This window comes from Homo sapiens, chromosome 4, assembly GCF_000001405.40.
Source record: "Homo sapiens chromosome 4, GRCh38.p14 Primary Assembly".
In the NCBI taxonomy this organism is placed as follows: domain Eukaryota; kingdom Metazoa; phylum Chordata; class Mammalia; order Primates; family Hominidae; genus Homo; species Homo sapiens.
This window is the reverse complement of record NC_000004.12, coordinates 104,010,474-104,037,838: the sequence shown is the minus strand read 5'-3', so window position 1 is coordinate 104,037,838 and position 27,365 is coordinate 104,010,474. Positions and strand designations below refer to the sequence as shown.

Here is a 27,365-nt window from a genome sequence, read left to right as displayed (position 1 = left end):
GCAAGCAGAGATCAGCAACAGTAGAGAAATGCTTCTTCTAGTTCTGAATGGGCAATAGGAGAAAATCGTGTTCCTGAAACCCAGTAAGGGCTGGAACCTGGGAGAGTGGCTGGCTGGCAAGATCTGTAGTCATGAACGAATGCAGATACTGCCAGAAGTGAGCCTCCAAAGTCAAAAAAAAAAAAAAAGTGGGTAAGAAATCTCCAAATCTCCTTCTCTTCCTACCTTCCAATCTCTTGCTAGTGATCCCCATTAGTTGAAGTCAACTGGTGATATGATTCAAAGAGTCAGCAGGGTAGGAAAAAAGATTTATTTGAAAGAACAAGAGTGCCAAATTTTGTCAAAGGCCTTTTCTGCATCTATGGAGATAATCATGTGGTTTTTGTCTTTGGTTATGTTTATATGCTGGATTACATTTATTGATTTGCATATATTGAACCAGCCTCGCATCCCAGGGATGAAGCCCACTTGATCATGGTGGATAAGCTTTTTGATGTGCTGCTGGATTCAGTTTGCCAGTATTTTATTGAGGATTTTTGCATCAATGTTCATCAAGGATATTGGTCTAAAATTCTCTTTTTTGGTTGTGTCTCTGCCCGGCTTTGGTATCAGGATGATGCTGGCCTCATAAAATGAGTTAGGGAGGATTCCCTCTTTTTCTATTGATTGGAATAGTTTCAGAAGGAATGGTACCAGTTTCTCCTTGTACCACTGGTAGAATTCGGCTGTGAATCCATCTGGTCCTGGACTCTTTTTGGTTGGTAAGCTATTGATTATTGCCACAATTTCAGAGCCTGTTATTTGTCTATTCAGAGATTCAACTTCTTCCTGGTTTAGTATTGGGAGGGTGTATGTGTTGAGGAATTTATCCATTTCTTCTAGATTTTCTAGTTTATTTGTGTAGAGGTGTTTGTAGTATTCTCTGATGGTAGTTTGTATTTCTGTGGGATCGGTGGTGATATCCCCTTTATCATTTTTTATTGCATCTATTTGATTCTTCTCTCTTTTCTTCTTTATTAGTCTTGCTAGCGGTCTATCAATTTTGTTGATCCTTTCAAAAAAGCAGCTCCTGGATTCATTAATTTTTTGAAGGGTTTTTTGTGTCTCTATTTCCTTCAGTTCTGCTCTGATTTTAGTTATTTCTTGCCTTCTGCTAGGTTTTGAATGTGTTTGCTCTTGCTTTTCTAGTTCTTTTAATTGTGATGTTAGGGTGTCAATTTTGGATCTTTCCTGCTTTCTCTTGTGGGCATTTAGTGCTATAAATTTCCCTCTACACACTGCTTTGAATGTGTCCCAGAGATTCTGGTATGTTGTGTCTTTGTTCTCGTTGGTTTCAAAGAACATCTTTATTTCTGCCTTCAAAAAAAAAAAAAAGAGTGCCAAGTGAGTACACTCTCCACCACACCCACATTAGAATATAATAAAAAATTTCTTAATCTGCAAAACATTTCCCCCTAAAGCCGCCTGCTCCCATGTAAATTTGCATGGTTTCTGTGAGAATATATTTTAACATGTCTCATTACTACAAACAAGACATTTGATTTAATCTGAAATACTTGAATATATTATGAGGATGCATTTTCAACATAAAAATGGGAAATAAAGCCATTGACAACTAGCCTCCAATATTGCCTCCCTTATGATCTAACAGCAAAGATCTTGTTGGTCTTCTAAAGAAAAATGAATGGAAAAATTCATTAGAGGCTGACTCCAGAGTAAAGAAGTGCTCAGTTTATGCTCAGAAATCATATAATACCTCAAACCACAGTGGAGCAACCCATGCTGAGCTGATAATGAAAGGTATTTAAGATACTTTGACTTTAGTTAATATCAGATATAAGAGAAACGTCATTTAGAGCAGGATTTAAGGAAGCTTGAAGATAATTTCTTCATCTGTTTCTCTGTAGTTCTGTGAGTTGTTTCTCTCTCTCTCTCTCTCTCTCTCTCTCTTTTCTCTTTCCCCCACCTCCCTCCTATAACTAGAGTTCTTAGAATATTATCTCTAAGATAGGGGATAATCCCTGATTTTGGAAAAAGTACTTAGAAATTATTACCTATACAAATTTATGAGAAAAATCGGGTTTACTGGTGCACAAGAATACAGTAGTCTTGAGCTGCAAAAACTATAACTTAAAAAGCCTTCTTGTAAATTCTTCAAATCAATTATCTGACTTCCTCTAGAAATTGATCTTTTTTTTCAAAGAGAAATGAACTATCAACCAAACTGACAAACCAGTGAATGGGTATGGAGAAAACCACACAAAGATCCTGACCACATTTCCACTGGAATCTTCATACTATGAAGCCATCAGAGGTTGTGCACACAGCAGCATAGCCTCAGAAAAGCATGATTGGCAGTTTCAGTTGGTGAAAAGCTGTCATTGGAAATCAGGCAAACTAATCTCCTTCAGTGTCTGAGACTGGGCACATACCTACAAATCTCATTAGGATGTTAAATTCTCAGAGCTCTCAAGAAAAGGGAAACATCTAATTAAAATATATAAATATCTTTATGTTAAAATTATTAATCACATATGTCCTCAAAAATCTATATCATATTGGATTTTGCCTGAAAGAGGGGAATAGAGCAAAGTTGCCCAATTTTTTTTCTGCTTATTTATTTTTCTTCTATCAACAATGTATTTATTCTAACAGTTGTCAATCTGAACTCCTTCTAGGTCACGATATATCTCCTATTTGGAATTCCATTAGTGTGACCAAAAGAGACAATCCAAAATCATTGACAATATTCTATGAGACAAATAATTTCATGATTAATTATCTGAGCACACCCATGTCACTTTTTACAGGTAAATCAGCATTTAATTATATAAAATTTTCTGTCATTCATGATTTTCCAACATACACTATTTCTCATTTTCACTAATGAGGAATAAAGCATAAAATAATATCAGCCTTTTAGGGAGTTAAGAATTCATTGAAACGTTAATAGTCAAGTAATTGGCTTTGTAATTTCTTCTTTCTATAGCTCTGTGTATCATATAATGCATCAGATAGTGGTCAGCCAAGATTATGTCCAAACATGGATATAATTGATTGATTTGTGAGCCACTATTCTGGGATTCTGAGTAATACTCTATGTGTAATACATCCATATGCAGTAGAAGTAACTCCTGATTAATATTTTTTACAATAAGAGGTTTTTATTGAATGTTTCAAGTCTACATTAACATAAAACTTAAATTCTTTTTATGTTATTTCATGGAGCAGAAGAGGAAGAACTCTTGAAACTCCATCTATTTAAATCAACACTCTCAGTAACTCACGTTAGTATGAATGAATAATCTCAATCTTTTTCAAGTGACAACCATACTCCATTCTCTATAATATTTATCTTTTACAACCCCCAAATAGAAACCTATGAGTAATAAAGGAAACTAAAATCTATTGCATGCATATCTACTATTGAACCAGTTCTGGTGTATGTGTTTTTATCCGGCTTACTAAATTGACTTAGGCCCTACGGCTACATTGAAAGATGTGTGAGATTCGATTTTTTACTGCTCTGTGAAGTCTCCTTAATAAATAAGAAAACAATAAAATAAATGAAAATGTTATTTAAAGTTTCCCAATAAACTGTCCATGTAAAGTACAGTTGATGGACACAAGTTTCATTTTAGCGAATGTCTCCTGGGCTCATAGACTGCCATGCTCTTTGAAATCATTTCAAACAGTTGCATAAATGTCTACACAGACCTACCCAATGCATATTATGAACATGTTTTTAACCTGTTGATTGGTTTCTACAAAATGTGCCTTTCTGTCTTTTGCCATACAGCTAAAAAAAACAAAAAACTGTTTGTAACTCTCTGATGACAATAACATTAAGCAAAATTCAGAGAGCCAGAGAATAAGTGTGTACATATATGCAAACACACACTCGTATACACACAATGTGGATGGCAAGGCCATGAATTGTTAGTGAATGCATAATTAGTACAGTGCTGCTACACTACCATTCCATTCATCTGTTCTACTTGTATTTACCTGATTTCTTTAATCTGCATAAATTTAAAGAGTACAAGGGCGGTTTGTTACATGGATATATTGCCTAGTGATGATGTCTGGGCTTTTTGCGTAACCATCACCCAAATAATGTACCCATAAAGTAATTTCTCATCGCTCACCCCCTCCCACACTCCCACCTCCCTGAATATCCAATAGCTGTTATTTCACACTCTGTATGTCCATGTGTATACATTATTTAGCTATTTTTATTGAAAGTTTTCTCAGGTGAGAAATTAACTTGATAAAATCTCAACCTGGAAATAGTATTTTTGGAACAAATTTCTCAAAGTAAAGAGTGTAAGCATTTTTTAAAAGAAATGACCACTAAAGGAACACACATTGAGATTTAATTTTATATGTGTTACTATGGTCTTGAAAGTGCTCATATGTTTTCTAGATATTTAGTAGTGTTGCTTAGAACTCTAATAAAATATTGTTGGAACTTGGTCATTGAAAAGAAGATATACTTTGCAATTTGTGGGGTGTCAGAAGGTCAATCGCTTGTTGTGATAGCTGCTTTTGGAAAATGACAACAATAAGTAAGTAGTAACTACTTTCCTGAGCTTATTAGTCTTAATTTGGAAGTCGTTTGAATTCAAGCATCTCTTTCTGACTGCCCTCCCGCTCACTACTACTGAAACCACGTAGGAGTCTTTCTTTTAATTAATTAGGGTATAATTAAACAGCAGGTACCCGAGCAGAAGCTTGAGAGTTGGTTCCATCTGTTCTCCAGGGTCTCACAATGGCAACAAGAGAGTTCCCTCGCATATTTTACCTTAAGCAGCTTTTGTAGTTTAATTCCAAGCTATCTCTTTTATAAATTGCTCTTATGATTTAACTTGATAATGTAACACTTCCAAATTGGAGCCCCTCCAGCATTTACCCTGAAAACATACAAAAAAGAATTATGAAGGGAAGAGAGAGCATTCCATAAAATTCAGATCAGCAAACTCAATTAAAACAATATATCATGCACTTATTATGTAAAGCAGTGGGCAGACTCCATTCCATGAAAACAATCAATTTTATTTTAAAGATAGAGAAATGTAAAGACATGGAGAAGGCTGACAATATTCCAGAATGTAAAAGATGGGACAGAATTTATAGGAGTCCTAAATTAGATCTGATTCCTAGTCTGGAGGAGCCCCTGAACATTCAAAACCAGGAATGTGATTTTTGCTAAAAGAATATTTTTGAAAAGACTGAGTAAAACTGGCAATATTATGTACTCAAATACTAGAGCACCTGTATCACTTGCTACTCCATATTATAACTTTATGAATCATTCTTGTTTCTTCTGTAAAATTTTTAAGTTTATTGAGAAGAAGAGAACTATTAGATTCATTTCTTCATCCCCACAGGAGATACTGGAGTGGTTTAATCACTCTTTGATGAATGGCAATCATTCAACCAGCTATTCTTTTTTTGCCCATTGTATAAATAAACCCCACCTTCTCATTGATGGCAGCATGCTCAAATCTAGAAAAGGCTAAGGCTTTGAAAGATTTTCAGGATCACAGCTTGATGCTCTTCGAAATTCAAATTGATCTATTCAAGTTATGTTTTCAGGATGCTTATCACTTAAACACAAAGAATGGTTTTAATGAATGTCACACAGTATGGGATACTCAGGGTGATGACAAAAATAAAGGAAATCCACAGATTAGATTGTGATATATACTTATTTTGCCCAGATATTAGAAAAACAAGTAAACTTATTTGCCTACAACAATAAGTCAAAACACTACTCACTTTAATTTTAACTTTGTCATAAGAAGATTAAGAACCAACATACATATTCACTATACCATCCATTGATTCAATGAATACATATTAACTTTATGTGGTGAGTAAACACTAATCCCTACATACATACTTTAAAGACTGTTAATCAAATTATAACAAAATATTTTAGGAACAAGTATATTGCAAAAAAGGTGAACAGTAACTACAAGAATATATAGTAGAGGCATTTCACCAGTTCAAGGAGACAGGAAATGATCCTTTTGTTGAGATGACAGCAGTGAGTTTAACTTGACAAGGCAGAAAAAAAAATGAGTTTCTTTTTATTTTTATTTATTTATTTATTTTATTTTTTTTATTATTATTATACTTTAAGTTTTATGGTACATGTTCACAATGTGCAGGTTAGTTACATATGTATACATGTGCCATGCCGGTGTGCTGCACCCAGTAACTCGGCATTTAGCATTAGGTATATCTCCTAATGCTATCCCTCCCCCCTCCCCCCTCCCCCCACCCCACAACTGTCCCCAGAGTGTGATATTCCCCTTCCTGTGTCCATGTGTTCTCATTGTTCATTTCCCACCTATGAGTGAGAATATGCGGTGTTTGGTTTTTTGTCCTTGAGATAGTTTACTGAGAATGATGATTTCCAGTTTCATCCATGTCCCTACAAAGGACATGAACTCATCATTTTTTATGGCTGCATAGTATTTCATGGTGTATATGTGCCACATTTTCTTAATCCAGTCTATCATTGTTGGACATTTGGGTTGGTTCCAAGTCTTTGCTATCCTGAATAGTGCCACAATAAACATACGTGTGCATGTGTCCTTATAGCAGCATGATTTATAGTCCTTTGGATATATTCCCAGTAATGGGATGGCTGGGTCAAATGGTATTTCTAGTTCTAGATCCCTGAGGAATCGCCACACTGACTTCCACAATGGTTGAACTAGTTTACAGTCCCACCAACAGTGTAAAAGTGTTCCTATTTCTCCACATCCTCTCCAGCACCTGTTGTTTCCTGACTTTTTAATGATCGCCATTCTAACTGGTGTGAGATGGTATCTCATTGTGGTTTTGATTTGCATTTCTCTGATGGCCAGTGATGATGAGCATTTTTTCATGTGTCTTTTGGCTGCATAAATGTCTTCTTTTGAGAAGTGTCTGTTCATATCCTTTGCCCACTTTTTCATGGGGTTGATTGTTTTTTTCTTGTAAATTTGTTTGAGTTCATTGTAGATTCTGGATATTAGCCCTTTGTCAGATGAGTAGGTTGTGAAAATTTTCTCCCATGTTGTAGGTTGCCTGTTCACTCTGATGGTAGTTTCTTTTGCTGTGCAGAAGTTCTTTAGTTTAGTTAGATCCCATTTGTCAATTTTGGCTTTTGTTGCCATTGCTAAAACACCAAAAAATGAGTTTCTAACCACAGGAAACAGGATGTGTGAAAGCTGTTTCTAAGTGCTGATAGAACTATTGCAGTAGTCCAAATGAGGGATGATGGCTGGATGGTGGTTGTAGGATGGAGTAAAAGGAACAGATTTCAGAGATATATGTAACTATTTTCACAGGACATTCTGATGGTTTGTACACTACTATGGCTTTTAATATATACACAAACCATGACTTGTGAAGGGCAAATAAAGTTTAGTATGAATAAGATTTTAGATAGCACACATAAAAGAATAAATTCTGTCACATATAGTTTACTTGTCAGTAAAAGTCAATGCTATAGATTTAATGCAAAGGAAAGGCTAGAAATCTCTAAATTGCCAGCAAGTGAACATGATAAGCTTTGTGACAATTGAAGAGATGCCAAAGATGTTATTGAGGTCAATAGAGATAATATGTGTGTGTGAGCAGTAGTAATATAACAATCTATTTAAATGGATATATTCAATATGAAAGATCTTAACACAAACCTTATAGCAAGGACATTCTTATATAACTAAATTTGCAAATAAAATATCATTTGTTTGATTTTATGTAAATGATTTGTCCAATGTAATGTAAATAATGTAAATGATCAACTTTGATGTTCTACTTGTATTTACTTGATATTTTTTAATCTGCATAAATTTAAAGAGTACAAGGGCAGTTTGTTACATGGATATATTGTTCAAAGACTTACAACTGCAGGATATGATATTGTATGTTGAGGCTAGACACAGATCATTAGAGATGATTAACACTACTCATTTGACATATGAATAGAATAGCAAAATTAATCAGGAAGCTTAAAATTAATATAATACAAAATTCAGACTAAGACATTATTTGAATTATTTTAACCATATCTTACCCATTACATAGGATAAAAGGATGTTCTAACTTATTCTGAAGTCAACCATTCTATAGATGCAGAAGATAAGTAACTAAAGATACAATAAATCATATACACACATATATAGTACAATGGTATTATAATATCCATATAGTACTGAATAATGCAGATATAATACTAAAATTTTGCAGAAAATAAGGCTTCATATATTATTTATATATCTATTTGCCTGTTATCCAAGACTATAATCTACACAGAATAGCAGAATTATGGAAATTCACCTGCTAAAATGCATTTGAATGCATTTAGGAAAAAAGCTATGTTAAAAACAAATACCTTGACAAACTCATCAATTATTACATGGTATGTAGTTTAAATACATTAGAGGATATTGACAATTTTAATACCAATCATCTCTATCCCTATTTCTGCATTTCAGAGGCCAACACTTTCAGTTCTTTTAGTTTTTCACTCTAGTATGTCTATCCCTTTTTAGAACAGCACATTTGTACTGCTATTTATTGATTTACCATAATAATATCAGTTGACTTCCTGTTAAGATAGAGAAGAATTTAGTTCATTTACATTGATCCTCCCCTCACTTTCCTTCTATACTGTTGTGGAACAATGTTTAATTAACTCAATATCCAGATTTTATATTGTTATGACTATGTAAATGTTGTTCACCATTAAATCAAGTAGTGTTTTATGTTATGTTTCATTTGAGAAATTTTTTTCCCAGGGAGCTACTAAATGCTTATGTTTCATCCTTTTATTCATTCATGATCCAATTGATATTTTCCTCCTACGCCAGCAGACTTTTCAAATACCTGTTGAACATACTTCATATTTTCAAATGCCTTGACAGTTTTGTCAGTTCTGCAGGCTTTGTCATCTGGTCTGTCGGAAACAATGGCCTTATACATGTCAGATTTTTAATGAGAACACTATTCTTTTGCATGGATCAGTTTTATTTGCCCCACTAAACATCTCTTTTTCTGCAACCTTTTTTATTCCTGTTTCAATCTAGATTAAATCTAGATTGTCTGCTGCCTCAAAGCCATCAACCTGGTATTTCTTGTCACCACTTTCATAGCTTAGGTGTCTATTTCCTAGGTTCCTAAGTTTTAGTGTGTTCTTGTATCATAGGTGAGTATGTTTTAACACCTTCATATCTTTTTTAATTTCTTTGACCAAACTCACAAATGATAAAGAGTTTGGGTATAGAAATTCTAGATTTTAAAATATTTAGATTGCTGAATATGTAGGCATTGCTCTACTATTTTCTAGCTAAGTTAAGAATTTTTATTTCTTTTAGATTCTTCAACTTCTGTCTCACACAAGTCTTCCTATTATTTGGAGGTCCTTTATTTTATCTCTGATTTTGTGAACATCTCTGATGTTCACAAAATTCACAGTAATATAATTTAACATTGGTAACTTATCTTCTATAATTTGGGGCGCTATCTGAAGTTTCATGGTTTTAGTTCTGGAGTGTTGTTTTGTTATTTCTTTGATAATTTTCTATCTTTCAGATCTTAGAAAATATGTGACACTTCCTACTCTGGATTGACTTTTAATTTCCTGTATATTTTGGATTTTTTTCTACTCTCATTTTGTTCTATTTTACTTTCAGAGTTGTTTGTTCAATTAAATCTTGGAACTTTTCTACTGTTTTTTTTTAATTTTAGATATCATCTTTTTAATTTCTAAAACATATATTCTCCGTCAGATTTACCTCAGCATCCTGGATTTGTATTTGATAAACCTAGAAGCCTCAATAATAAGTACATTTTTTAATCTTATTCTTACATACATATCACATATACACAAGGACACATATAACTATACTAAAAAAAAAAACTTTCATAAAACAGTATCTGGCTGGGCGTGGTCACTCATGCCTGTAATTCCAGCACTTTGGGAGGCCGAGGTGGGCAGATCATGAGGTCAAGAGATCGAGTTCATCCTGGCCAATGTGGCGAAACCCCATCTCTACTAAAAATACAAAAATTAGCTAGGTGTGGTGGCATGTGCCTGTAGTCCCAGCTACTTGGGAGGCTGCGGCAGGAGAATTGCTTGAACCTGGGAAGCAGAGGTTGCAGTGAGGCGAGATCACACCACTGTACTCCAGCCTGGAGACAGAGTGAGACTCTGTCTCAAAAAAAAAAAAAAAAATCTAACCTTATACCTTCCATGCCTTATACCTGCCATGCATTTGGATATTTTATAACCTTTTTATTTTTCTTGCTAATTTAAGTTATTTCTTTCTTTATTATTGATTTGACCAAATGTTGGTGTTTGTGGAGGGAGCAGGAAACGCCCTGCTATAACATGATAAAGCTGTGAGTAGGTCTTTTTGTTAAAGCATTTTTTAGTATCAGTATCCATAGGCCATTCTTTCAGGCTGGTCAGTTACTGCAGAGAATTCTTCATATCCTTCACTGGCAAATACACATTTGTATGTCTCAGTTTTTCTATTGCTGGGTAGTGGCAGAAGGCACCTTGATTCAGTGTAGTATATTTCATATAAAAGACCTTCATTTCAGTCTTTTAACTTATTACTCTCTTCAGATTTGATACCTCCAAAGCGAGAACCTTTTAAGTTCAGTTTCTCCAGAGATAAACCTGAGGTTGAGGGTCATTTCCTAGTTGTGCAAAGTGAGGGACACTTATTTGTTCTACACCTAGATTGTATCAGTCAAACTAGAATAAGTTTTGCTATAGTAAAAAAGAACCCAAAATATTCAACTTTAAGAAAAAAAATAATTTCTTAATATACCATATGCCTATTACATACTGAGTTTTATTTCTCTCCATCTCATTCAAGGACTCATGAAGATGGAACATCAATCATCTTAAATTTGGCTAGGAACCATTCTGTAGAGAAGAGAGGTCTCTGGAGGGTCTCACATTGGCTACTGTTTCCTCTGACTTGAAGTGACCTAAATAAGTTATTTCATCCCACATCTAATTAGCCAGGATGAATCTTCTGGTCCCTCCCACCCACAGGCAGTTTCAGGAAGTACAATCCTACCTGTGCCCAGATAAAAAAGAGAGGGAACTATTTGGTCAAACCATAATGTTAGCTACATAAACATTTAATTATATCCTCATATCCCTTCCACTTAAGTTCCTTAAGCCTTAGACCTCCAATGGATCTGTGAAGCAAATTGGACACTTCTCATTGATAAGCTTCCATGTAAGCACAAATACTCTAACTTCTGCCTCTTGGGTGGGTCTGTATCACTGCTTTCCTCTCTTCCAAGCTACTGCTTCACTTGAGCCAGTCTTTGTCATAGTAGCCTGGCACAATTTGATTGTCTTATTGTTATTTTAGTAATGTTTTGAAAGAAAATAGATATGTCTTTGCTATGCAACTGCCATGTTTACATAGATTTTTGACACACCTATGTTTGTAGGTGAATCTTGACGTATCACTAAAAAGAAGGTAGAAGTAGTGTTCAGTGTCTTTCTTTTAAGAAACATTAGAATCATCTTGATCTTTTATCATTTTCCCTTTACCTAAATCCAAACGAATTATTTCACTTCTGTCTTAACCTTGTCTCTTTCTCTCTCCATTTGCCCTAGTGAAAGTACTATTTCTTTGAAGTTGTATTATTCTATGATTCTTCTAACTCTACTTTCTCTCGTGCATTATAATCTACCAAAATATTATGTCTCCATTGCTTAAAATTCCTTACTGGCTCTCTGTGGCCTAAGTCTAGATTTCTAAAGGTGATACTAATGACTCAATTTGATTTGGCCCTAGTCTGATTCGTTAATCAATTATGGCTTTCTCTAATTCCTTAGCTCACCTCATTGTTCCTTGTCAACCTTTCTCTCTGCCTGGTATTTCTTTAACCCTAATTTCATTTTCTTAAAAGCATGCCCATATTTGGGACTTAACACATGTGCTAACCTAACCCCCAAGTGGAAGTAGTTTTCCCATTTCAACATTCTAACAACAAAAATACCAATATCATTTAGAGATATTTGCAATGAAAATCTTATTTCATGTGTTATTTTACATGCAATAGAGGGCAAGGATTATGTTATCATGTATGTCTCAAAATGCCTAGAAAAACACCTTTAGGAAAGATGACCTTTATTTAATTCATTTACATTTTATTCAACTTACTGACTCACAGAGATGTTCCCATGAGTATCTCCAGGTTCCCCAAATTCTCAACATTAAATCAATTAATGCAATCTTTTGGTAATATTCTCTTTTGTTGTAACCTATGACAGATTTGGTAGTTGCTCCATGTAATTGGATGTGCCAAAATGTTCAGTTGTTCTGATTCTCCATGGACAACCTAGACAGATGGTCAACTGGCAGGCACCCAGAAATACTAGTTCTATTTATTAAGTACTGTCCAAACAACTAAATCTTACAGATGCTGACAAAACTACTATATTTTTATTGTGCTGATTTGCTGATAGTTACAATTATGTGCAAATAACTATTTCTTAAGGACATGTTTTTGGATAAATGACAAAATTTTAGAACCTGAATATTAAGAATCGAGTTGTTACCATTTCTTTTTAAACTGCATTTCCTAGCTTTGATTCATAAGTTTTACACGAAATTTTGAGTTAAGTACTTCACTCAGTGGGAATGGTGCACTATATCTTGACCTATATCAATTTAGTCATGATTTGAAAAGTACTAAAGTCAAACCTGCAATAAAGGACAATTATATCATATTTAAGTTAAAATAAGTCAGTCAGTTAGCAAACAAGTGTCCAACTACCAGAGGCAGGTAATACAAGAATCCAAAATAAATTCTATTCTCAGAGGTGACAGAGCACTGATTCTCCAGCAAGCTTGGAGGAGGCCCTGAGGTTAGATCAACTCAGATGGAATTTCATGTTTTGCTGCATGGAATTTCCATGATGGAAATGGAAGATGGGAGAGAAGAGAGGGGAAAAAGAATAAAAGCAAACAAAAACTAAATGGCTTCAATTTCCAGATGTAAAGAAATAAGTGAAACTCCATTAACTTTGGATATGTGTCTCAATTTGGATTTTATTTTCACTGTAGTGAGCATGTTCACAGGTGCATAGAGAAAGAAAAAATTGAAACCAACAATCTGATTCAAACAGACTAAAATGACCATTTATTTCTAAAGTGCAAAGTGTTTGAGATCAAAGACATTTACTAAAATACCTAGATTCTGAAATGTGGCTAGTCTGATAATATCACTTCAACTTATCATGTAAAAACAATAATGCTAATGTTTCTGGGTCTGTATTTAGAAGGAATTATAATAAAAGCTATACTGTATAGAGAGTTAGAAAGATTTTTATATTTTGACACAGGCCTTCTGTTCACTTGTCTTGTGAAGGCAGGCCCTTCTTTATATCATTGGCTCTGAAAGCTTCCTTAAACTACACTTTGAATGAGACTGCCTATATTTCTTTAGTTCAGCAACTAAGCAGTAAGTCCACAAATTTATAATTTATAGAAAAATATATTTGTATATAAGTCTAAAATTTCTGCTGTAGGAGCTTACTGTTCAATTATCTACTGTATTATTTTCAAGTTCATTTGAGAAACACTTAAAATAATGCAATGATGTGGAGTAATTGTCCAATGGCAATTGTGTGTGAGTTTCAATATATTAAAATTTAACAAAGAAAGAATAATATAAGAAATCATGTTCTTCAATGCCTATACTATTTTTTAAGAAATAATATAGAATAGTGGGAGAAACAATATCAAAAAGGAAAAAAGAAGCATACCACTCTTTCTAATAGCAAATTAAAAACCACAGGATGAAAAACTCATGGCTCTTATTCCTAGAAGATATAAACTAGTGTTACTACACAGGTCAAGAGCATTACATAGAATTTTAAAGGAGGCACTAGATGGTAGTAATTTGCAATACTTAATATCTAGAACTAAAAAACAAATTCACTTTATCCCTTTTCACATTGGCTCTATTCCTGGAGTTAGAAATATATATATTATTTTCTTGTTTGCATTCTTCTCTCTGAGTCAACAGTTAACAAGTAGTAAAATCATTCACCATTCTCATGGTGGGACTTTGTCTAGTAAATACTTGTAAGCTCTCCACATGCATTTCAGGTACCAACTTTTTCTCAAACCTTATCTGTTCCTGTACTTATATTCCTCACATCATAATATACTCACATACTTAATTTTTTTAAGGTAGTGTGGCACTGTTTGTGTTTTATGTCACTTCAAATGCTTCTGAGAATGATTTGAAAACGCCTAGATGGAGAAAAATTTCCAACAGGAAAGAGCTTGCAGTAGTATTTAGGAAGGATAGTGGAAAGGCAAAAACAAGCCGCCAGACCTTCACAATCTAGCACTATGAGGTGAAAACTTTTCTTGTGTGGCTGAAACTGCTAAATTAAAGCATAGTAAAACTATTTTGGTTTACTGTGGCCTGTCATATCAATAGAGTTTCCTATGTAACAATCAAATCAACCATCTAGTGGCCTGTATTGATCATCAAGACAGCTGAGGTAAACGGTTGTGCTGTGCCATGAGGGTCTGTTTGCTTGGCCATATATAGTCTCAGCAAGATATGCACGGGAATATTAATTATGAAGACAAGCAAGAAATGAGAGAATGTGTGCTGAAAACCCCCACAGAAAGCAGCAGTCTCATTTCCCACAGAGTTCCACAGCATACACAGACGTTCTCTGCTCAATGAGCACAGGCAGAGTTGTTGTCCTGCTGCTTTATGTTAATTAGAGAATAAATAAGTGGCCAACTGTAGTCTGTGGGCATATGTTGGTCAACTGTCTCTGTCTAATTAGGTTGTAAGCCCTCTAGGCAGGGACCTCATTTAAATCTATGTTCTGGAAAGCACTTAGTGCCTTTGTTGAGGCCTAGTGAATGCGAAAGACTAGGGCAAATGGCTGAGGTTTAATAAGGAAGAGAAAAACTTTCAAGAATTTGTGTCTGCGTGTATGTGTATGTGTGTATGTGTGTTTGGTATCTTGAGAAATGCTAACTAAATATTTTGGGCAAAGAATGTAATATTACTTTTGATAGACTAACACCCCATATGTTGCTTTTTGTAGCATAATACATATATGTAATTAACATGAAATTTATATGTAATTTAATGAAATAAATTCTGTATAAATTTATGTGTATTTCTTCTAAATTATACAGAGTATTTGCAAACGTAATAAGCATAAACATCAAATGAATATATACTAGTTTAATTTGAGTGTCTGAGCACTTACACCATATATTGCATAGTTTGCATGTGTGTGTGAATGTGTTGTGGGAAGAAATGAAAACCAACGAAATGAGAAAAGGAAAGGCTATTTATTCTTTACTTGCTATAGCAAGGGAGTCTGCCACTGTCACTCTCATTTTGGCAGGCACTCAAAGGCAGACAGAGGAGTGGGAAAGCTTTATAGTGGAAAAGAAAAAAGTCTTTGGGTATATCCTGATTGGAGGCTGTTGATCTGGGGAAACTGTAGACAGGATAACTAGATCCAGAGACTCCTATGTAATTGGTTAGGAGTACATATTTGGCTTTCTCTGACTGGCCCCAAGTTGAAGTTGGGGACAAAAATTAGGGAAGCTGTCAGTTATTAATCAAGCCTTGGACAATTTGAGCTGATTGTTACAGAAGTTATTGTTTAGCTTTTTGGATTGTCACCAGAGAGAACAATCAAGATTCCTGCAAGTCTGACCTATAACAGGTTGGTTTCCTGGTTTGTTTATTGTGAATAAAAGGTTAGTTTCCTAAGCAGTTTGCTGCAGGTTATTGGTCTCAATTTCATTTTTATTTTTTTAGAGACGGGGTCTTGCTATGTTGCCCAAGCCTCACTCAAACTCCAGGGCTCACTTAGTGCTCCTGTCTCAGCCTCCAGAGTAGCTGGGACAGCAGGTGCCCACCTCCAGAGTAGCTGGGACAGCCGTGCTCACAGTGCCCAACTACTCAAAGTTCCACTTTTATATATGATTTGGCCATTGTCTGTTTATATATTCAATTTCTCCATGTGTTGTATGTATGATTGTGTGTGTGCATGTATGTTTTTTATTTTTTGCAATAATGTAATGTAAGAGTGCTTTGAAGTGCACACATATTTAAGTATTCTGGTATCTATTAACCATTTATATTTAGTGGGTATTCTTTATTATGTTTGTGTGCATGTGTGTGAGCTTGTGTCTATGTATGGGTATGGTTCAGGGCTTTCTCTTCTTGTCACTCCCTGTATCCTCTGATGCCTGACACTTCATGTCTGTTGCTCTTAATTTAGAATAGTGAGGTGAAGTTCCAGAAGCAAAAGGCAACAAAATAGAAATTAAGATATACACATTTATATATGTGTGTTTATAAATTTTTGTGTTTAAAGAATACTTCTTTTCTGTGAAGTTAGTCATTCACTTTTTTGGACCCCTATAACATTACATTGTATATTGTTTTTCATATCACACACATGTATCTGTGATATGTCTTTTTCCTCAAGAGGCTTTAAGATTCCCAAGGGCAAAAACCTAACCTTATTGTGCTTTTTGTTTTTTGTGTTTCCCCCTAATGCTAGCCAAAGTAGTTTTCAACAAATACCTAATGGTTGATTCAAACTATGTCTATTTATGGTGTATTTAAAAATCCCTACATTAAGAAAATTTCAAATTACATAAACACTAAAACTGCTTTATTCCTTAATTAATTATCAAAGATGAATGTATATATCTTTGACAAGGGATAAGATAGTGGCTTTGGCCACAGGTATCTAACAGTATTTCTCGTATTCATTTATCATAGATTGTAGGTAATTAATGCCACGAAATATCCTAAAAAATGTATTGTCTAAAACACTTAAATTTTATATCCTCTTCCTAGACTAAAAAAAACTATTGACATTTTAGAATATAATAGAAGTATTATATTCTAATATTTTAAGACAAAATTTGTTTTTTATTCCATGGATCTCTGATGCCACTCAATGGATGTCCTCTAAAGATGAAAAGCAGACATTTGTGAATATGGAAGAGCGATGACAAAAATGGCTTATGGTTTGCCTGTTGTCCTCTTTTATAATTTGTAGAGAATAAAGTAGAGATTGTAAAATTAGTAGGCCAGCTTATTCATTTAGGAAGTCTATTCTTTGAATTAGTTACCCTCACATATTCAATTAGCCTGAGAATGTACCCTTTCACTGCATTTTCTTTCTGCTGTCCAAAAGCTTTTTGTTATTCCAATATTTTCTCTGCCTCTTCTTCCTTCCTTTTCACAGCGAGAACCACTGGCTCTCAACCTAATGGCTTATCTCCTCAGAAATATTCTAGAAAAACAGATCAAATCCCCCTTAAATAATTCTCAGAAACAGCCGGGTGCAGTGGCTCTTGCTTGTAATCCCAGCACTTTGGGAGGCCGAGGCAGGTGTATCACCCAAGGTCAGGAGTTTGAGACCAGCCTGGCCAACATGGTGAAACCCTGTCTCTACTAAAAAAATACAAAAAATTAGCCAGGTGTGGTGGCGGGTGCCTGTAATACCAGCTACTCAGGAGGCTGAGGCAGGATAATCGCTTGAACCTTGGAGGCAGAGGTTGCAGTGAGCTGAGATCACACCACTACACTCCAGCCTGGGCAACAGAGCAAGACTCTGTCTTAAATAAATAAATGAAATAAAAATGATCCTCATAAACTCTGAAGTAAATCAAGTCTCCAATTATGAAAAATAAACTAGCCTTATTTCTGAATTCCCACCTTTGCCTCATTCTCATTCTGCTCCTCCATTCTTTACCTTGCATTCTCTGTGCTACTCTTCTTAAAACTGAGCTTTATTACACAATGTTTTTATTTACTGTTTAAGTAGACTCCCTGTTTTTGTGACTTTCTGAATACAGTAGTCACCTTCCTCTACTGAAGGCTAATATTGCCCTTGTTGAACTGCTCTCAGGAATTCGAGAAGAGTTTCCGTCCGTGTCCTAGTTAACTGGAGTAGAGATATCCCAGGTCTACTGGGATTTGCGAATTCAGCCTTCTCTGGTAACCCTAACATTGATTCCTCTTCCGGTGTACAGAGAGATGTTTGCTTTATCACAGCCTTTGTCTTTCAGGTTTTTTTTTTCTAATTAGCATATCTCTGTTACCAATTTCTGTTTTAACATCTTTTGGGGTAAAACACTTGTTTAGTGAAAGTGCCTTTTTCTATCAGCAAAAAATATCAAGAATCGGTCTAGGGCCTAGTACTGAATGTCACCTAACTGTTCTTTCCCATGGTATGTATTTCATATTTTTTTTAAGAAAACCTGTGCTCACACCACCCTTTCATGTATATAATTCCCCTTCACCCATGATTTTTTAAAAAACAAGTCATCCCCCCAAAATTGTGTAAAATCCAGTTTAAAACCCATAACATCCATGAATCCATCTAAATAACATTATTCCTTACTTCTTTTTCTCCTTTAACACTCCCTATCTATCCATCTCTATCAATCACTGTTTGAAAATTCATATTGTTGCTCCCCAATTAAATGAAAGTTTTTAGATACTGCTAATTAAAATGACTTATTATGATTTTAATTGAGATGTAACTATATACCAAGCACTTAGTCAAGCGGTTGATATTTACTATCTCATTTACTTTTTATGACATCCATTTGTAGTAAGCATTAGGCCCATTTTAAACGCAGAAAATTGGGCATTAGAGAAAGTTTCTTGACTAAAGTCACCTAGCTGGTAAACAATACAGCCAGGATATATTTCTTTTTTCCCTTTCTTGCTTACCATTTTGTAACGTAATATCTATTTAATTACATATGTTGTTATTTGCCACTACAATGTAAATTGTTAAGGGCAGAGATTTTAATCTGTTTTTGTTCATCATTTTGTCTCAAATAATGCTTACCTCTAATAATATCTCTGTCCCTGAATCAACCAACCAATCAATAAGAAAAGGGCACAACATGAAATTTACAATCTAAATATCCTTTTTATATAAAAAAAGAAATGATTCGAATCATGATTTTATTGTTACTTAGCAGAGTTCAAATTCCAGGTGTTGCTTACTGCATGCTTTTTTGAATTATTTTTAAAATCAGAAAATTTAGATAAAATAATGATACATTGTGAAGAATATAAATAAATTCCTTTGTTGATAGTAAGGAATGTAGCATAAATTTGTTAATTACCCAAAATATAAGCAAAATCTTGAAAGCAACAATCATCTATGCATTAAGAATATAAAAGTGTTAACATTTTTCTGTTTACCGATACTAATATCCAAAGTCTCTTGGGCACATTTGAGAAACTTCCTAAAAACATTTTTAAAGTAAATAAGCTTGTGCAGACATCTTTTATTTTTTACACACTGAAAGTATTGGATAAGGGAGATAGAACTCTGAAGTTGAGTTATAACTTTCATGTTATCCTTAAAAATCAACTTTACAGCACCAAACATCCTTCCAGAATCTTCTGAGATTGTCTCCCATCCCCTGCTTATTTATTTATTTCCTTTTATTTGTAGTTGACAAGTAATAATTGTACATATTTAAGGGGTACAGAGTGACATTTCCGTCCATGTATACAAAGTGTAATGATCAAATCTGGCTAATTAGCATATCTACCACCGTGAATATTTATGATTTCTTTTTGTTGTGAACATTCAAAATCCTCCCTTCTAGCTTTTTGAAAGTCCATACTAAATTAGTGTGAACCATATCCATCCTACAGTGCTGCAGAACAATATAACTTACTCCATCCATCTAACCCTAACTTTGTATTAGCTAACCAACCCCTCTTTAGCCTCTCCTCTTTCCCACCCTTCGCAGCCTCTAATAACCAGAACTTTACTCTCCATTTCTATGAGCTCAATTTTTTTTAGCCTCCACATATGAGGGAGAACCTGTGGTATTTATCTTTCTATGCCTGGCATATTTCACTCATAAATGTCCTCCAGGCTCATCCGTGTTGTTGTGAATGACAGGATGTCATTCCTTTTTATTGCTAAATAGTATTCCATTGGGTACATATACCACATTTTTATTATTGATATATCCACTGATGGATATTTAGGTTGATGCCATATTTAGGCTATTGTGAATTTTCTAGGATTTTGAACTCTCTATTGAAAGATCTAGGTTTTTAAATTTATGTTTAAACATTATTATTTTTAACTACAAATATATATTTATGTCAGTAAATCAGTTGTGGTATGTATTTAGTGAGGGTATACTCTTTTCCTGAGGGTTTTATTTTTAAAATATGGATTAAAACTGACACAATCATAAATCTTAAATACCACATTCATGTTTCACAAAAAATAATTTTCCAATGATTTGCTTAACAAAAGACAAAACAATATTGTAAACTGTCAAAGAAGAAAGCAATCACAGTTCCACTGGGAGACAAAAGTGTCTTTCTTCTCTAAATACTGAAGCAATATCTGTACAATATCAAATGCATTTAAAAGGCTAATCAGACAGTTGCCATGATGGGAACAGAAGAGCCTACTTTTCTTCTTTCAAAATCCTGGGTAAGCCACAAATGAAAGGAAATGGAGTATCAGGGATAAAAATGGTTAAAATGCCTTTTTATAGCCTTTCCATTTTCTTTTGAAAAACATTTTAGGATGTAATAGTTAGTATTCCTAAAAGGACTTAAAATACTTATTAATTATAATAAATAAACCAAGCACCATGAACCCAGTTCCTAATTTTCAGAGTGCACAAGCATAGCATTGTTGATGCTATTTCTGGAATTTCTTTCTATTTTCATTTCAATTTTTTGTGATGACATCTTAGGATGGGGGACAGATCACTGATTTCCCTCAAGAAGAATCTTTATTTACTGGGTAACTTTTGCAACAAGTAATACATCAAAAAGAGGGAGCTATGTGTTTCAAGATACAAACAGGTATGATGGAGCAAGTTTTCGATAAATAACTGGCTAGATTATTTTAATTTCTGAACAGCCTAAGATTAAGATGCCCTATCATTATGCCACATTTCATTGTTCTTTCCTAATGGTTTACCTTAGAAAAGGTGCTCAAAATAAAATTGATGCAGTCCATAAATATTAAATGAATTATTTCCATATGCCAGGCACTGTTGCAGGTGGTCAATATGTAAACAGTAATAAATGAGACAGATGTAGCCCCATTCTTATAGTGCTGACATTTAAATAGCACACAACAATTGAATATTTAATGCCCCTAAAGAGGTAGACAAGATTCAAAAGAAAGTAAATAATGGAATGATATATTTTTACATTAGTAGAGTTAATAAAGTAGAATATCAAAAAGAGTATACTTAATTAAATTAATTAATAATTCCTCCCTCCACCTCTTGCTCTTTCTCTTATTTTTTACATATTATCTCTTTCATATTTACTCATAAATAATGAATTTGGTATGTATTACAAATGAAAAAATGCTTTTCCCTTACAGTTAAGTTATAAATTTGTAAATAACCTCAGAAACATGAGCAAATTTGTTACAGGTAAAATGAGTGAACATCACAGTTCTTTTCACTGAATTTCAGAAAAATTTATAAAGTCATCTATATGTGAACAATATTTTAAATGACTTGTAAGGACTGTCTAGAGGAACATAAAGAGTCTCATTTACTCATAGATGCTGATGAATCAATTTATCCCCAAGGCAATGATATTAGTATGTCACCTCTATAGATCGTCCTAGATGATTTGGCATATATTAAAAAAAAAGTGTACTCTTTCCTTATTGATTAGGAATTGATTCCTTATTGAATAGGCTATGTTAAAATTAGCATATCTAATCAATTATTTAATCCAATGAAAAATAATGGGAAATATACTAAAATGTTGTCTCTGCTAAAAATAAAAAAAAAATCAAGAGGAAAGTTATTTCTCACCAACTGCTTTTCTTTATAAAGAATAGTTCCAATACTTAGTGAATGATGGAAGAATTAGGCCATCTGCTGGCAAGTGGCAAACAGGCAACCTTTACACATCCAAACTCAACTAAAGCCACCTCAATGGTACTTAAGGGACTGAGGGAGTTGATTAGAAAAGGGAAGCATTATTTTTCCTTGTCCACATTAATTGGTAATCTTTCACGTTTAATATTTTCAATCGCAGTGATTTAACTTCATAACTTTAAACACTTTTAATAGTGGTAAGGGGCTACAACAGTAGGTAGTTATAACTCTATGGCATGCATCATTTATTTATTCACCAATATTGATTGATAGTCTGCTATGTATAAAGAAGGTTGTAAACATTAGGGACAGAGCAATATACACGACACCTTTCTTACTCTCACAGAACTAATATTTTAGATAGTCAGTTGTTTAATTAACATGCTAAATCTTAATTTTTTGAAGAGTGGAGTAGGCCAGGCGCGGTGGCTCACGCCTGTAATCCCAGCACTTTGGGAGGCCGAGACGAGCGGATCACGACGTCAGGAGATCGAGACCATCCTGGCTAACATGGTGTAAACCTCGTCTCCACTAAAAATACAAAAAAATTAGCCAGGCGTGGTGGCGGGCGCCTGTAGTCCCAGCTACTCCGGAGGCTGAGGCAGAAAATGGTGTGAACCCAGGAGGTGGAGCTTGCAGTGAGCCGATATCGCGCCACTGCACTCCAGCCTGGGTTACAGAGAAAGACTCCATCTCAAAAAAAAAAAAAAAAAAAAAAATAGTGGAGTAAACTGAGCTATATAGTTTCATAGTTTATACTAGATTCTACTTTTTTTCAATTTGGTTTCTAGAGAGAAAAACAATAATTCTTGAATCTCTGTTCTGGAAAATACTAGCTCATCATTTTGTCAGCCAATGTCAACCAAATTGAATAAATGGTGCTAAAATGCACTTCTGAGGATTCTTGGCCCTTATACATTTGACTGACTCTAATTCCAGTGATCTTCTCAAATTGTAGTAATCCATGGAAATGATAAATCTCCGTTAGCAGGGATTTTTTTTTTAAGTAGGCTTTCCTTGAAGCAATAACAAATGACTCTCCCTTCAATATGAAGGACAGAACAAGCATTCCAGCCTTGAGGATGTTTGCATCGGGTCATCCTAAATATAATGCATTGATGTTACTGCTGAAGCTTCTGCTAATACTACTGAACCTGTTATCCAGGAAAATTAAGGACTTCAATTTTCCAAGAACTTCAATTTGGCACCATTCCCAGGATTTTACTTGCACACACATACCACCACCCTTGCAGGTTCATTTCTAGTTCGTAAAACTCTGCGAAAGTAACAAATTATCTAATTAATATCCAAATTGCCTAATTAATACCCGAATCACCCAGTTAATATCAATTCTGAAACAGTTTTATTTCGTTTCTGTCAACATCTTTCTTCATGTAATTCTTTACGGTCTACTCCCTATTCCCATTTTTCTCTATAGATTTCATTCACAAACAACTTATGTTTCAACCATATAAGTTAATACATCTCTTTTATTCTTTCATCTAAATGGCACTAAACTTACTTCAAATCTTTATTGTTTGATTGCAATGGGCTTCTGAAGCCACCACAACATGCAGACCAAAAGAAGAGAAAGAAGGGAGATAGGATCCCCCAGGAGAATTTGTCTCTCAGGTTACATTTACATATTTAAAGGAGAAATATTTTCTAAGAGGTGCCACCTTCAAATATGTACTGGACCATGCCCGAAATCAAGAAATTAAACCTTTGAGATTTTTATTTTTAGTGAGCGAGATTCTGAGGCAGAAAAGATAACAACCACCAGAGTTATCTTCCTAAAACAGAAATGCAGGACTTTCAATATCCTTACATTGCCTATAAGGATTCAGACAACCATCCTTGCAGACTACATGCAGCCCACCTATTCTCCTAGCTTGTCCAAGGCACAGGAATAAGGAAAGAAGGGCTTCACAGAAAACATATACCTTGGAATCAAAAAGAGTCTTAAAACACCACACACACACACACACACACACACACACACACACACACACCTTATTCCAAAGCAAGAACATCTTTCCCAGTGATTAAGGCAGTGGTGTTGGGCATTGGATGCTGGGCATTGGAGGAGGAATTGCCTCAAGGGAGGAGCAGAACTGCACTTCAACATAACTAGGGCTTCATCTCAAGATGGTGGTGCTCATATCTCTCCAGGGTAGTGCAGTGTAGCACACTAGGGTATGAGTGAGGATGGTGCTGCTCTGCGTTAATAATTGAAAAGTGCCCATGGTTAAGATGTGACTTTTATGGGCCTTGAAGATAAAGATTATTTTAACTATGGGGACAGGAGGCAGGTTGGCTGAATGCAATGGGCTATGTCTCATGGATTTCTCAATGCTCTGTGTTGTTGTTGACACACATGTATTCTGCTATTAAAACATTGTATTATTTTGGATAAGGCACTTCACTTCTCTGAGTCTGACTTTTTCTGTTAGATAAAGATGATTGTAATACCTATTTCTTGGAGTGGCTTTGAGAAAGGGGTGAACTAATGCACGAGGATACGCGTTGTGTTTTAAAGCACTATACAAAGGTAAAATATTAAGCACTAGAAAGCTGTTTGGTACTGCTAAGTCACAAATGTTCCCACATATTAACCTTTTAGTGACTAAAATAGAATTCTAATTATCTTACTGGTATTCTCGTATTCAGTAAAATAAATAACATAGCTTGCAAGGATACACACACACACACACACACACACACACACAGTACATGTAGTCACTCTCCTATAGGACTCAAAGCTTTGTTCAGTTTGAATCTTAAAAATGTGACTCATAGATATTTTGCTGTTTTCTGACTTTGCCCATTTGAACAAAAGTTGCCTAACATTAAATCCTAAAAATAAGTCCAAAGCTATTATTGATTCATTAAGAATAATTACAAATAAATCTACCTTTCCAGTTTCATCTTGCCAAATTACCTTCCTGATTTCTTACTATATGCCCATGCATTGCAGACTCCTAATATTTAACCAAGCTATGTTCTACTATTCTTCTGTGCCTTTGACCATGTGAATCATTAATTTGATTATTTTATCCTCATTATTTTATCTATTTGATAAAAAAATTCTTGTTTTTCAAGGCTCAATTTATACTACTTCCTTAGTGAAGCTATCTCCAAATTCCTTGTCAGTATTGGGACATCCTCTTTATATAGCTCTTCCTACCTGTACTAAACATGACTCATTATTTTATAAATATTATTAATATGGATGTTCCTATTTAAACTCTTAAAGATAGTAATATCGTGATGTATATTCTTATATTTCTGTGCCTATCCTAGTGTCTAGCACATAGCAGATCCTATAGTAATTGAAAATTTCTTTTAAATATGTACTTAAATGTAAGCTAAATTTTCTAGCAGTTCATCAGTTTGAATGATGCTCAAATTTACTTTTTCTCTTCTTTTTGTACAGTTGTGGGAAAGCAGAGATTATAAAAAGACTATGGGGAAAGATGTTTTTGGCTGCCAAGCACATAGTCTCCCCTTCAAAACTCTGTGATAACAGAATAAATAGTGCTTCCTATTATGCACAGAGGGAATATTTAAACCTAAGGGACAAGTGAGACAGATGATTTGTCATGGTTAGGGTGGTTAACATTGGCCTCAAGGCTATCGGTTAATCTAAATGAAATGGTCAACAAGACTAGAAAGGATCAGTAAAGCTACTGATATGGTAACTGTGTTTCTAAGGTAGAGTCCATTAAGAAACAAGGATGCCACAGTCAGGTGGTCTGCTAGGGTACGGTTTTGAGAAGCAAATACTGGGCACAGCTTAATAAGGGAGTACAAAAGACTAAGCCACCATTTATTTCTGCAAACAGAATCAGATAAGTATTTTCAGTGCAGTAAGAGCTATGCACAGAAATACCAGGTTGTGCAACGAGAGAAAGAGATGCAACAAAGAATGTCTGAAATTTGTGAAAGTAAACAGACTTCTCAGAATAACAATAAAAATTAAAATTTTTGTCATAACATTTAGCACATTTGAATCTGAAATTGAAAAATTACTTTTGTATATAGATTTATTCTAAGGATCATCAGGGAAAAATGATGACTACTTAGGCTAAGACTAAGCTTCTAAATATCCATAGTTAAAATATTTTATCAGATCTGCTTGAAAGGATATTTGTAGTCAAATAGTGCCCATTTTGTATGCATGTAGCAATTTTAGATAGGTAGTGCTAGTTAAGAGTTTGGCAAAACCATGTGTCATTTACTCATAATGTATATAGATTCTTTTTAAAAAATGGCCATTCAGATTGAAGGGCCAAATTTTCATTTTATTAGCAAAGAAATACTTGGTATAGGAGAGCGTGAAAATTTACACTTAGATGTGATTTTGATGACTATTCATAAACTACCCTAGATTTTTTTTTCTTACATTCTTTCTTAGATGGGACCATTACACAGCAGTCAGTATATACCTGATACCAAGCCTGATGAAATTTGCCTGCTTTCAGTCCACTTGGACTGCAAAAGTACGGTGACGGAAGCACTGGCTTTGGAAGTTTTGGTTTTCAGCAAAACTCTCAACATAAAAGCACATAATAGTAGCACATTATCCAAAAGAGTCCTCAAACAGGTTCTTTAAAGGCAGAGCCTAAGACAGAGACTCAGGTGCATTATAGCTTACAGAAGGACTCTGGAGGAAAAACCCATGAAGAATTACACGGGATGGGGAAAGGGAAGGGGCTGAGCAATGATGTGGTCCCACATAAAGTTTAGACTTGTTCCTGATCCATTTCAGGGAGAGAGAGCCCTGAAGTACACATTGTGATTTGCTCAGCAATGATACCCTGCTTTGAGAGAAAGGAGCTGGGCTTTTCTGCTACCTGTGCCCCACGTGTGTCAGTCGTTGTTGTTATGGGTGGAGAGATGTTGTAGTCTCCTAAGCATATTCAGCCCAGTGGCATTTCTCTGGAGACATAATCCCTTTGAAGCATATTCAAAGTACCTATGGGATGAGGGCAGTGGCCCAGTGAAAAGAATCTGGCCTGAACTCTCTAAAACACCTACTAGCAAAAGGAATGTATGCACACATAAATTACAGAATTATATATTTTGAATATATTAACATTAAACTCTATATAGTTAACCTTATAATTTTATTTTAATTTATTCACAATATATACACAGCAAATGCCTGATGTGGATATAAGCGGTTTAGCAGGAATTTCCACTGTTTAAATTATGTTGCAATATTAGATTGGTGCAAATGTAATTGTGATTTTTGCCTTTAAAATTAATTTTATCACCTGGTTCTCACTTTAACAAAATTATTAATCCTTACTAAATTAGGATTTTTGTATTTGTTGGCTAGATTTATACATTTCTTTTCATTCTGTTCTGTGGGGATACTTGTAAGAAAGAGGAAAC

The 27,365-nt window shown here is 34.6% G+C and overlaps 1 long non-coding RNA gene across 3 annotated transcripts in view; it reads right to left on the bottom strand.

Annotated features, from left to right (window-relative positions):
- Positions 1-287: 287 nt before the first annotated feature.
- LINC02503 (long intergenic non-protein coding RNA 2503) overlaps positions 288-27,365 on the bottom strand; it is a 75,942-nt gene continuing 48,864 nt past the window's right edge. For all 3 annotated transcript variants that reach the window (NR_186772.1, NR_186770.1, NR_186771.1), the window contains 2 exons: positions 4,723-4,913; positions 288-1,356 (listed from right to left, as the gene is read on the bottom strand). This is a non-coding gene — a long non-coding RNA (long intergenic non-protein coding RNA 2503). The remainder of the gene's footprint in view (positions 1,357-4,722; positions 4,914-27,365) is intronic.